This window comes from Homo sapiens, chromosome 1 (genome assembly GCF_000001405.40).
Source record: "Homo sapiens chromosome 1, GRCh38.p14 Primary Assembly".
Taxonomy (NCBI): Eukaryota; Metazoa; Chordata; class Mammalia; order Primates; family Hominidae; genus Homo; species Homo sapiens.
Genome location: NC_000001.11, coordinates 186,231,124 through 186,245,498, shown reverse-complemented (window position 1 = coordinate 186,245,498; position 14,375 = coordinate 186,231,124). Strand labels below are relative to the sequence as shown.

Genomic DNA, 14,375 nt, shown 5'->3' with positions numbered 1-14,375 from the left:
GGTGGAAGGGGAGGGCTGTAGGGAGAGTAGCCTTTGATCCTTTGTTACTCAGGTGTGGGGAGATGGGTTTTTCCTTTTGGTTTAACCTTAGGAAGTTTGTGTTAATTGGCTTTAGATTCCCTGCCGCCAGACCCAGGTGTTTTCCTTTTGATCCAGCTTTGGGAAGTCAGCAAAAATTGGAACGAGATTCCCTGCCCCCAGACCTTGGTGTTTTTCCTTGATTCAGCAAGTATTGGCCTTAAGTTCCCTTCCTTCAAACCCTATTCTCTTGCCTCACTAGGGCAGTGCAGAAGGGAAATGTGGGGTCAGAACCCCCACACAGAGGCCCCACTGGGGCACTGCCAAGTGGAGCTGTGAGAAGAGGGCCACTGTCCTCCAGACCCCAGATTGGTAGATCCACAGACAGCTTGCACTGTGTGCCTGGAAAAGCCACAGACGCTCAACGCCAGCCGGTGAAAGCAGCGGGGAGTGGAGCTGTACCCTGCAAAGCCACAGGGTGGAGCTGCCCAAAGCTGTAGGAGCCCATCTCTTGCATCAACGTGACCTGGATGTGAGACATGGAGTCAAAAGGGATATTTTGGAACTTTAAGATTTAATGACTGCCCAGACGGATTTTGGACTTACATGGGACTTGTAGCCCCTTTGTTTTGGCTAATTTCTCCCATTTGGAATGGTAACATTTACCCAATGCCTGTGTCCCCATTGTATCTAGGAAGTAACTAACTTGCTTTTGATTTTACAGGCTCCTACATAGAAGGGACTTGCCTTGTCTCAGATGAGACTTTGTACTTGGACTTTGGGGTTAATGCTGGAGTGAATTAAGACTTTGGGGGCTGTTGGGATGGCATGATTGATTTCTGAAATGTGAAAGGGACATGAAATTTGGGAGGGCCCAGGAGCGTATTGATATGGTTTGGCTTTGTATTCCCACCCGAATCTCATCTTGAATTATAATCCCCATAATCCCCACGTGTCAAGGGAGAGACCAGGTGGAGGTGATTGAATCATGCAGCGGGTTTCCCCCATGCTGCTCTCTTGATAGTGAGTTCCCACGAGATCTGATGGTTTTATAAGTGTTTGGTATTTCCTCCTGCATTCATTTCTCTCTCCTGCCACTTGTAAAGAAGGTGCTTGCCTCCCTTTCACCTTCCACCATTATGTCAAGTTTCCTGAGGCTTCCCCGGCCATGTGGAACTGTGAGTAAGTTAAACTTTTTTCCTTTATAAACCACCCACTCTCGGGTAGTATTTTTATAGCAGTGTGAAAATGGACTAATACAAGAAAGTTCTTCTCTATGAAATTCTCATTATTGGAGTGATTTTTTTAAGGCATACTTTCAAGAAGAACTTTATCAAAATTATAGTAAGCCTTTATTTAAGTTTTCTAAATTTGTGTTTATTAGAAGCAGAGCAGTTAATATTTCACATTCAATAATTTACAGTTTATGAAAATTTGAGCTATACAATAACCATTTGAGGTAGGAGAAGCCGTGGTAGAAATTGCTACTTGCTTTCTCTCGTTTTTCCATAATTAATTTTTTAAGCTGGAACATGGTCAAAGTAAAGATACGTTTTTCTTTGCAGTGAGTGTGGCTATGGTACTTTGTTCTGGTCAGTGGGATAGATGTTGAAGCGTCATGTAGCATTTGCACAGAAATCTTTAAGAGGTTGTTGATGTGTACTCTTTGACACTTCAATTTTTCATCTACTTTGCTGCTTGGAACATGGATAATACCATCTTAGGCCATGAGCATAAGAACTCCCCGTAGTAGAATGTCACAGCAATGAGCTTGAAAAAGCTGGTTCCCTGAGGACTCTGTGGAACAGAGTAACTGTGCCAGGTCATTTATGCACTTTTACATGAGAGAAAACTTCCTGTCTTCTTTAAGCCATTTTTGCTTGTACTTTCTCATTTTTGCTTATTTTTCTTTCCAAAAATGAACTATGAAAACATATATGTGATTTATATGTAGTCTATATATGTGGTGTATATATTACGTTAACACTTTATGTGACTACTTTGTTGAGTAGATTTACACTTAGACATAAATATTTTATATACTTATTAACATAAATTAAAAATTCCTAAATATGAAAGCAAATTAAAACAATTGAATATTGTATATTGAGTAAGTGGTATAACCAAACTGGGAAAGAATATTTCAGATAACTTCATAGCACAGCAGTTTGTCTGTGGATACACTGTGTGTTATACTCTGAGAACAAAAATAATTGCAAGGATATCTTAAAACATGTTCAGTAATCGGCCAGGTGCAGTGGCCCATGCCTGTAATCCCAGCACTTTAGGAGGCCAAGATGGGCAGATCACTTGAGGCCAGGTGTTTGAGACAAACTTGGCCAACATGGTGAAACCCTGTCTCTACTAAAAATACAAAAATTAGTCAGGTGTGATGGTGCACGTCTGTAATTGCAGCTACTCAGGAGGCTGAGGCACTAAAATTGCTTGAACCCAGGAGGCCGAGGTTGCAGTGAGCCGAGATCATGCCACTGCACTCCAGCCTGGGTGATACAGACTCTGTCACCAAAAAAACAAAAAAAAAAATCAATAATCTATTGTTGGTCATGTTGGTATTGTTATAGATGGGGGTGTATGTAATTGCGGGATAAACTTAATGGGTTATATATTTTGGTATTGATTAGAATGAGAATTTTTCTTTCCATGGAATAATAAAACATAAGATTTAAGTGAAATACCTTGTAGTCCTAACTTGACTGGAGTTAAAAATATAAATTCATGATGTGCTTTATGTTAAAGAGAAGTGTCATGTAGTTCTGTTCACTGAAAAGTCCTGAAAGAGTAACTAACACAGTAATATTGAACACCTGTAGTGCTAAAAGGCTTCTAAATTTACTTTTCCTTTAAAAGTTACCAAAGTTTCTTGAAAAATGGTTGATTCCAGCTCTGGGGCAGAAAATATACAAGATAAGATGTCTTATGACTTTGGAAAGCAAGATAGTACTACTATCAAATACTACTAGGGTCATATCAAAAAGAAGCCCAAACCGACCTGAAGATGGTACATCTGGCCAAAATGGTGCAATCAATAGAATTATAGTTGCAATATATTAAAGCACGTAAAATGTTTATGTCCTAAAGCTCATAATACCAAAAGACAAAACGAAACTTAAAGATCACCTTTAGAAGTAGTTTGCAGAATAACTTTATTTGAAGAGAGCGAATAAAGGGAAAGGAGTATTGATCTACTTATATTGCCCTTTCTGTATGAAATATTCCTCAAGGTAACCACACAGTTAATAAAGAGAAATGTTTCTTTATAAAAGTATCCCAGCTAATGATTGTGGAAGAAACTAGATAATTAGCATCTTACCATTTTGCCAGCCCAGGTGAATTAGTAGATCTAGGTAACGGTTATTAGTAGCTAGCATCACACAAAGAGATATCCAGACATATATGCACCATCACCTATGAAATATCCTTGTAGAGGCTTAAAGTTTAATCTAAATCAAGTTATTTATCTAATTTCTGATGTATAGAAAGGAAATATAGGGGACAGAGAAACATGTTGAATATCATAGGGATGTAGTCAGCAAAATCCAGACTGGGAAACTCTGCAGGACAACCATCTGGTTTTTTCAAAAAAGAATTAAAAGATAGAATGATAACAGGAGAACCTATAAATTAAAAGCACCTGAAAAAATATATCCACCAATCACAAGGTATAGACCTTATTTAGATCTTTCCCTAAAAAATTAGCTAATCAGGGAAATTTGAACACTGATTGGACATCTTGGAATATTAAGAAATTAAGGTTAATATTTTTAGGTGTGATAATGATATTGTGGTTTAGTTTTTTAACAGACCTACTTTTTAGAGATTCATACTATTTACAGATGAAATAATATGATGTCTGGAATTTGCTTAAAAATCATCTGAAAGTAGGAGAAGGAGTAAGCTGGGGTAGAGATAAAGCAAGACTGTCCAAGAGTTAATAGTTGAGGAAATGGGATGATCCTTTACGATTAAATGTTAAACTACATTCTACTTCTGAAGAACTTTTCTTTAAAAATGTAAAAAAACAAAAAATACTGATGGACCCCTCCCTAAATTCCAGTTTTAAAAGCCTGAGGTGGTGGTAGATGCTTGATGAAACCAAATCTCATTTAGTTGAAATTAAGCAGGAAAACAAGAGGTACAGTTTCAGATGGGCAGAGCAGATTGAAAAGTACTTGTGTGATAACCAGAGAAAGAGAACTGGAAGGAGGTCAGGAGAAAGGGATGCTAGACCCGGCCTTGCTTCTAGGGAGTGGATGAAACTAGACAAGTCACTTCATCTCTATGGGCCTGTATTTCGTCTGTAAACTGAGGGTGTAGAATATTTAATTTCTAACATTCTTTCCAGGTTTTACAGTGAGTGAGAGAGGGGCAATTGTTAAGTACATTGAGGTACCCAATATTACACCATTATAGCATTTTCTTAATTTTTTCCAACCAAATAATTCATTTGGCCTTTAGAATAAATGTATTTGCTTCTCGGTGGAACCTGACTCAACTCCCTTATTCCCATGGTTGTTCCCCTGTAGCTGCTCACACTGTGGGGTCCAGCTAGCAGGATCTGACTGGTCCTTCAGCACGGTCCTTCTGCTCTTTTATTGCACAAACACCTAACAAGTCATATTATAGTTCACAAAAATAAAAAAATTTATTATGTGGAGTTATACAAACATAAATTCCATACAATGAGGTAAATGTGTAAAATGTATAAGGCATGGACATTTGGAACAGTGGGAGGTATCGGAGGTCTGTCCACAGAGATGTGACAAGATCATTTTGGTATTTTTGAAATCTCTTTGTGGCAATAGTGTAAAGTGATACAAGTTCAGACAGGTAGCCCAGCTTGGTGATAAGAGAATGGGTCCCTGAGTGCTACTGTGTTTGAAAACTGACTCTGCTGCTTATTAGCTGTGTGACTGGTGTGTGTTGTTATGTAACTCCTCTGTGCCTCAAGCCCCCCATCTGAAAAGGGGAGATCATTGTAGTAGCCTTTCCACAGGGCTCTTTTGAGTATTAAATAAACTGATAAAAAGCACTTAGAATAGTGCCAGAGTAGGACATGGTGGCTCATGCCTGTAATCCCAGCACTTTGGGAGGCTGAAGCAGGTAGGTCACTTGACTCCAGCAGTTCAAAACCAACCTGTGCCAACATAATGAGACCCACACTTGACCCATCTACCAAAACAAACAAACAAAAAAACCCCACCAAATTAGCTAGGCATGATGGTGCACACTTGTAGTCCCAGCTACTTGGGAGAGAGGCTGAGGTGGGAGGATCACTTGAGCCCATGAGTTCAAGGCTGTAGTAAGCCATAATGGTGCCACTGCACTCCAATCTGGGTGACAGACCCCATATCCCAAAACAAAAAAAACAAAAAAAAAAAACCAACAAATAGTGCCTGTCTCAGAGGAAGCACTATATTATTATATAGTGTATAATAATTATTATTCATGGCAAAAAATACTTCTAGTGTAATTTTGAGGATGATAATTTTGTTATGATTCTGCTACATATAACACAAGAATTATAGGAGGAGAGCATACAATATACCTTCCTCATTTATGAAAAGGTATAAAATAGAATGCAAGGCAAAGAAAACAATTCTGAGGAAACTTTTTTTAAATGGAGACAATTATAAAAATATGCCTGGAGGGAATTCACATTAGGATGAAAATTATGAGTTATTTAATTTGACACATTTTTATCAAATGTCTTGAACTAGAAGTCATAGTTAAATGTACCCATGATGAAATCTTGTCATCTGAAAATACACAGAAATATAATAGTAAAAAATACATTTTTTCATTTTCAAAAACAGATGTCCTGAGTTTTGAAATTATTTGTACCAATATATTACTTGAGAATATTAACATTGTCCACTCCTTACATGAAGAGAAATCTGTTTCACTAAAAGAATTGTGGCTTCCTTGGTTTGTATGTGTGAGGGCACTCTCAGATGGCCAGATCTTAAAAACATGAGACACATCTTCTCTGAGGAGGTTCAATCTTGCCCTAATTAAATAGTGGTCACCACAGGCTCAGCCAATCATAACAAACACATGTGGCAAAATACTTGGCTATGGAGAAAAAACATATTTCTGGGAGACCCTGTGGACCTCTTGGGATCATAGAAGAGGCATTTTAGAGGAAAGCAAATATTCTTTGGCTCTTACTGGGTAACTGAAGCCTTAATTATATTAAATAAATCAGTGGTTGGATTGTTGGTGGTGAAAACTGTTAGTGTCTTTGGCCCTACACTTGAAGAATGTTTTTTATTTTTCTTTTAGAGTAACAGCTCACAGACATATATAATTCACTTCTTATAGGATGATAACAAAAACATATAGCCACCTATTCATGAAGGCAAATATGAAGGAAAAAGCCATTCCCCTCATCTGTACTTAGATAACTTACACTTTCTGTTTTTTCTTTTTTTAAAATCAAATTGTAAAAAAAATTTCATAAAGCATAGGGAAAATAAGGTTAGCATTTTATTGAATATTTGAAACAAGGACTTCCATCAAGAAGGCGTCCCTTATCCCTGTATGATTTCTTAGCTTAACAACCTTAATGAATTTTAATGAATTTTAATTTTGTGGAAAATTCAAGCTCCCTCTTCCACTCCTTCCATGATCTCCATGGTCATCTAGAGGATGTCAGCACATTGAGGAACATTTTGTACTTTATTACTGAAGAGGAAGATGATTTAAAAATTACACATGAGCTTGTATCCTGTGATTTTTGTTTTGCCAAACAAGACTCTTGCAGGAGCTCATAGAGCGTGGTGTAATTTGTAGATGCTGGGGAAAGTCTCTGGGTCATGAAGGATGTTATTCCTTTAATAACATTCCTTATTACAATACATATATCACACAAAGAATGGGTAGAGTTATTGACTTGCCTTGTATTTAGGATGAGTCTAACAGCAAAGTAGTTATGAAAATATTTAATAGGACCCTGAGAAGGAGTCGCAGGAGGAAAATGCTGGAAGTCAATGGATGGTGATGATGATATATAGTCGCTGATAGGGAATGAGGACTTACCATATGTTAAAAATATCAGTGGAATATCACAGTTGAGTCCAGAGCCCAGATGAGTTTCTGTGTTCCTTTCTACTTCTTGCCTGCCTCTTGTTTTGCTGTCTACCCTTCCCCCCTCCACTTCTCCATTTGTATCACAACTCATTTTGTTCCCTCCTGCCACACACATTGACTCACCTGTGTGTCAGTCACACATTGCCTGTGAATGAGATGAATGTCCTGCCTGCCATTGCTGCTAATCTAAGTGTTCACGTCTTCCTCGCGCTGTGGTTGTACAGGCCCATGTTAAGGATGACCTGAGTTTGTGAGCCGTCTTCTAGGTCTCAATCAATTCATCTTGTTTCCTTTTTTTTTTTTTTTTTTTTTTTTTGAGACGGAGTCTCACTCTGTTGCCCAGGCTGGAGTGCCGTGGTGCGATCTCGGCTCACTGCAAGCTCCACCTCCTGGGTTCATGCCATTCTCCTGCCTCAGCCTCTCAAGTAGCTGGGACTACAGGCACCTGCCACCACGCCCAGCTAATTTTTTGTATTTTTAGTAGAGACGGGGTTTCATCGTGTTAGCCAGGATGGTCTCGATCTCCTGACCTGGTGATCCACCTGCCTCGGCCTCCCAAAGTGCTGGGATTACAGGCTTGAGCACTTGTTTCCTTTTAAGCTGTGTAAACTTCCTGGCCCAGAAAGCTGGGAAATAGATGCCATTGCTCATAGTGGCCTCATGATGATGATGATGATGATATAGTAGCTGATAAGGTAATGAGGACTTACTATGTGTCATGAACTCTAAGTTATTTGAATGTACTACGTTTTAACCCTCAAAATTGGTCTTATGAGTTTAGGAACTATTATTCTCATTTTATAGATGAAGGAATTAAGATTCCTTCTACATGAAGATCAAGGAACTTGCCCAGAGCACAGAGGAGGTAAGGGATGGGCTGGAATTTGAGCCCAGTCTGTGCGGTTCTGGAGCTCATGCTTTCAAATGATTCCCTCTATTTGACTTTCACCTCCAGGTACTCAGCTCAAATGTCTGAAGAATATCAGAAGTTATAGACTTTTCTACGCAACTTGGTTGAAGATAGTCTTGTTTCTGCCTTTTTCTATCTGCCCTTCTTAAGGAACCCTCAACATCACTTGCAGATTATTGGGGTCCATTGTTGCTTTCTGTTGACCTTAGCCACTCATAGGTTCTGTTGCTCTGGAGGACATCTGGGACCTGAGGAGTCATTCCATGGAGGCTTCTTCTGGGAGTTGCTTGTATATCTCCTCATTGGGAATGACTCACCCAACCCTAGGGTGAGAGGGTGTCAGGAATAAGAGATGTGATGCCTGCCCAATGAGTCACACACTTTTCTCCTCCGGAACTCCTCTTGTCTTGCTTCTGCCTAGACCTCACACACTCTGCTTCTTCGCTTAGAGTGATTCAATTCTGTTGTTCTTTCAACCCTGCTCAAAAGTAGGTAGATGTCTCAATGGAACTGTTTGTCTTGAATTTTCACTTTCACGAAAGGTCGAGGTGCTTCATACAAACCAAGAACCCATATACAAAACAAACAGTGCCTTTTCTAATAATCATCATGCATTCTCAACACTTCTTATATGTTTTCTGTCCAAGCAGACAGATCATGTTCATGTTTCTATATTCTCTATATGTAGTTGTAGGTGGTGGGACTAGAGGTCTCCACTAGAGTAGAGCAGGACAGAAGTCACCTTGGAATCGCTGAGCATAGCTCCCTTAGTTCTGAGGGCTCTTGTGTTTTGAGGATTTATTAAAATTTGGTAGTTCAACTCTGAGGGGTAGCAAACGTTACATCTAATGCCAACCAATTCTCCTGGAGTGTTACGTTCAGGCATGTGACTGTGTAGGTGAACTGTCTAAGTGAACTCATTGATAGCGGCTATATCAAGAGTGAGTACTCAGATCCAATAATGAGAAAAGGTCCATAATGCTGGAGATATTCTTTTCCTAAAGCATCATGGGAAGAGAGCTCTGTCCTGGTACTCATAGCAGCAGCTGAGGCATAGGATTCTGTCTTTACCATTGGGCTCCAGACTCAAAATATGTGAACAGCTTTGCTGGTGAGTAAAATATTTTTCTTTCCGGCATCTTCCTTCCATGCTGGATTGCCTTATGTGTTATGAAAAGGCAACTCCATTGCTGTCATATATCCTAGATCTACCACAGCCAGAGTTTCCACAACTTTATAGGGAAACTGGAAATAAAGAACTTTCAACATAGGATCCTGGCCAGCTTGGCTGGGAGCCCCTCCACTGAGCATAACACTGGGCTGTAGGTAGCCTACCATAAAGAGATTGGCTTCTGTAGATGACTATGCTATTCCAATGGCTGTGGCTTTTATCAGGGTTGGGGGCTTTGCATGGCTTTCTAAACTTTAAGATGTGATTCACAAAGGCTAATTTCTAATAAAAACCGGTGACCCTCTGCCGTCATTGTGTATATCAAGAGAGATCTAAGAAGGACTGATTTCTGTCTTTCACACTCTTTTAAGCATTTGTGGAATCTCTGGAGATAGGAGCCTAGAGCGTGATGGACTGGCTTTGTAGAAAACCTGCTGTTGCCACAGGTATAGGCTCAAGCATTTGCATTTTGTGAATAGATAAGAAGCAGCTAGGATGAACAGACACCCCAGATACTATATGTTTACAGCCGTATGTATGCATGTGACTGTGCACATATTTATGTATATGTTGGGAGGGGGAGAAAGGATACTTGGAATATTAACATATCCTAGATATGAAAAATAGAGTAGATATCAGGCTAAGGTTTAAAAGTATATATATAACTGATTTTCTATAAATACAGAACAGCTATTAGAATAAATTCAAAGTCCTAGTTAAAACTCTAACTCATGAACACCCTGTGTTGGCACAACATCAGAATCATGATTCAGCAAAAACACAAAGTGCATCAAAATTTCAGACATGAAATCTCATAAGTATGTTACATATCTTCTTTCCTTTGTTTCAAATTGCTAAATGTGAAACACTGCCCTACATGCGGACATGTTGGTACTAGTCAAAGGAACACTAGCTGCTGTAACAAATGAGTCCCCAAATCTCAGTGGCTTATAATAAAACTTATTTCTAGCTTATGAACACACTATTGCAATTCCTGGTAGATGAAGTAACCAACCATCCTGGGTTGCCCAGAATGGAGGGGTATCCTGGAATACAAGATTTTCAGTGTTAAGACTGGAGAAGTTCTGGGTAAACCAGGACAACTTGGTCATCCTACTGGTCAAACAACATTTTTTGAAACTGGGACCCAGGTACTTGGCTTTTTCCCATCTTATGACTTCAACCACTTTATCACTTGACTTCCAAGGCTCCCCTGAGGGCTGTATTCGTTCCCATCCAGCTAGAAACAGAAAAGAACATGGAAGATATCATGGAAGCTTTTCTGGCCAGTGCTGGAAGTGGCATATATCACTTCTTCCCTTATTCAATTGGCTAGAGTCAGACACATGGAAACGCTTAGCTACAAGAGTGACTAGGAATGGCAGTCTTCTTTTCAGAAAGGCCTTATTTAATGATCAGTGAGTAGTCTTTGGTATATCAACATATATAGATTGTGTTGAATATACAGAAATAGATGGCAAACAGTGATTTGGTAACATGCAATCTAATATTTTCCCCAAAGATTTTTGTTCTCTGATCATTCCTTTCAAAATTGCTTGCACATTCTTAGGAATTATTTTTATAGCCATTTAGCAGTTTATTTCTTCCACTGAGTCTTTCCCAACAGGAACTATTTCTTAAAAATCAGGGAGTACTCAGTCTTCATCAGGAAGATGTGGAATGGGGTTGTTCTTACCCACTGCTTGGCAGAGAAGACATTCCGCTTAACTGTGCTATCTGCTTGCCAAGGTTACCACATCAGGAAGGTCAGAGAGCCTGTTCCAGGGATGTGTGCTGAAGTTTGTAGCAGTTGGGTAGGCATCAGCCTTTCAACCCAGACAAGAGCAGGAAAATGGAGTGCTCCTGAGAGTTATTTTTCAGAAAAGGAGCAGGTTCGAATACCTGATATGATGAAACATTTGAGAAAATTGAGCATTATTATCAGGAACATATTACAAGACACAAAAGGCCTTCTCAAAAAAGGCTCTATAAGAAAGTATGTGTAATCATAATAAACTTCTTGGCTTTTAGGTGAACGACGTATAAGTAAAATAACAACATAAACACAAATGATAAAATTACATTGGATACATGGCAAAAGGAGTTTGGGCCTGATGTAAAAAACAAAAAGGTCATATCCTTATAACAGAAATACAGATAGTGTCTAAAACTGATAAATCAGGGAATAGAAGTGTAGGCATGTTTATTTGAGATAATTACTATAAAACTTAGAAAAAGTTAAAAGTAGTTTGAAGGGGAGATGAACCAAGGGATGAGGAAAGTGGGGCTGGAAACAATTGTTCTTATAACCCATTCAATGCTGTTTTATAAAAAGTGACTAAGTGTATTGTTAAAAATAAATGTTTATATACATGGACATAAAGATGGAAACAATAGACACTGAGGATTCCAAAACAAGAGAGGTGGAGCATGGGCTGAAAAACTTCCTATTGGGTACTATGTTTACTATCTTGGTGATGGGATCAATAGAGGCCCAAAGCTCAGCATCATGCAGTATATCCTTATAACAATGTACCCCTTAAATCTAAAATTTAAATTAAAAAACAGGTGTTTATTTTTAGAAGGGTAGTGCATCCTTTGGATTTCCATAAACATATACCAATAAATAGAAAATATTGTTGAGGTTCCACAAAATTCCACAATATTTGCAAGGAAGCAAAAACAATAAAGATAAACAAGATCATGTGTGAATGCTACATAGAGTAAGACTGGGTGGCTTAGTATCAGGGCGTATATGAAATTGTACACATTACACCAACAGTAAGTACAGAGTGAAATTTATGGATTTTCAGCTAAAGCATTTTTTTTTCTGGATTGGGAACTACTGAGATAAAGGAGAGATACTACAGGAATATACCTCAGGCATGTAATTAAACAAAAAGTAGAAAACAGAATTAATGTGGAAAAACTCAAGATGGTGCAGCGAGAGAAAAATTAAAAGATGAAGTCATGATTCCTGGCATGTTAGTTAAGATAATGCTAGCTGCTGTAACAAACGCTTAATGTAAAATGAGTCGAACATCATCATAGGAGTTTGTTCTTAGCATCTAAGATGTCCAGAGAGTGGTGATTTGGGGGCTCTAGGCTCTTTCCATCCCATGGATGTAGTGTCTTCAACACATACCTAACAAAGCAGCATACCCACCTGCATCCAGCCAGTAGGTGGGTTAAGAGCATGGAGGGTCATATGGGGATTTCTACCAGCCAAGCCTGAAACTGCTATGTCTCACTTTTACCTACATTGCATTGGCTGGAATTCAGTTATATGGTATGATGATTAATTTTATGTGTCAACTTGACTGGGCCACAGGATGCCTAGGTATCTGGTCAAACATCATTCTGGATGTTTCTATGAAGATGGTTTGGATGAGATTAACATTTAAGTGGGTAGACTTAGTAAAGCAGATTGTCCTCCATGGAGTGTGTGTGTGTGTGTGTGTGTGTGTGTGTGTGTGTGTGTCTTTCAGTCAGCTGAAGGCCTGAATAGAATGAATGACTGACCCTCCCCTTACTGAGAGAGAATTCTCCTGCCTGCCAGCCTTTGAACTGAAACATTGGCTCTCCCAGACTTGTGGTTTTTGACCTGGGATGTTGACTCTTCCTGGTTCTACAGCAGTTTGTTGGCCTACCAGTCTTCATAATTATGTGAGTCAATTCCTTACAATAAATCTCCTTAGGCATAGTCTTCTATTGGTCTGTTTCTCTGGAGAACCCTAATACATATGGTTACATGTAACTCTAACAGAGGCTGTGGAGAATAGTCTTTGTGTCCAGGAAGAAGAGGAATGGGATTAGAGAATAGCTAGCCTATCTCTGCTGTTCCTAGGGAAGCCAGACCCTGGGAGTCAGGCTTTCAACCTTAAAAAAGATTCTAGTATACAAATTTGGCATTGGAGCAGTGAAGTCATCTGCCATTGGGGACCATGCTTTCATGAAAAATTATTTACCAGCAGTGACATATGTAGACTGATCACCAAAGGGACTTCCCTAATGCTCTGGACATGACATATAAAACTCCTAAGAGCTTTGCAAAGGTAATAGCAATAATGACTCAGTTTGACTTTTCCTGACTCAGAGGGAAGGAAGATTAAATCTGATTTAGAGAATGTTTTAGCTTCTGCTTCCCAGCAAACAACCACAAAATGTCAGTGGCATGTCACACTGACTTTTCTCTATTCCACGTTGACAGGTAGGCTGAAAGGGGTTGTCTGATCCAGGCTGGGCTTGGCTCTGTGCTACAGGTTGGATATGGATCTGCTGTTTGTGTATCTCATCATTCTTGGACCAGTAGCATGTTCTTCTCATGGCTAAAGGCAGGAGTAAGGCAAGATAGGGAAGGCAGAACAGCTTGGGTAAATTGGTAGATGGCGATGTCATTCCCTAAAATAGGGAGAAAAGGAGGTAGATATGGGAAAGGTAGGAAACAGATGATAAGCTAAATTTTGAATCTGTTTGAGGTTTGAGACATCCAAATAGAGACATGCCTTGTAATGAAAACACAGAGAGCACACTATATTCTTGTAAGTTACAAAACCAGTCTGTTCTCCACGCATTTCAGTTCTAGTTTCCCTCTCCCATGTACACTTCACACCAGAAAGTGTTTTCCTGGAAGGCCAAGAGATAGGCCATGATCAAAGGATCAGGTGTTAGGCACCAGGTGTTTTCCATGTGGATATAATTGGAAATTTATTATTAAAACATGGAAAAAACATACAACCCAAGCCTATAGTAACTAGGTAAGATGAAGTTTGGCTTTTTAAATATTCACATGATAGTTCTAGGTGAATTGAAATCTCAAAACTTGAAAAAAGTAGGCTTAAGACAGAAAAGTATTCTTTCCCCAGAAGATGGTTGATTTACAGACCTGAAGTTGCAAGATAAAATACAGGATGCTCAGTTAAATGAACTATAGGTTTAATAATGATTACATTTTTAGTATGTTGCAAATATTGCCTGGTCCATAGTAAATATTTCTTACTTATCTCAAATTTATTTATTCTATTTATTTGTTTCTTTTACTTTTTAGAGACAGAGTCTCACTCTATAACCTAAGATAGAGTGCAGTGGCCTGATCATGACCCAACCTTCTGGGCTCAAACCATTCTCCTGCCTCAGCCTCTTGAGTAGCTGGGAGTACAGGCATGT

At 39.1% G+C, this 14,375-nt stretch overlaps 1 annotated feature.

Annotated features, from left to right (window-relative positions):
* Positions 434-600: a silencer, noted in NCBI's record as "fragment chr1:186214031-186214197 (GRCh37/hg19 assembly coordinates)". NCBI's record gives its function as "represses an EF-1alpha promoter that drives an FKBP-Casp9 reporter gene in an ReSE screen in K562 erythroleukemia cells {active_cell/tissue: K562}" and the evidence as "EXISTENCE:reporter gene assay evidence [ECO:0000049][PMID:32094911]".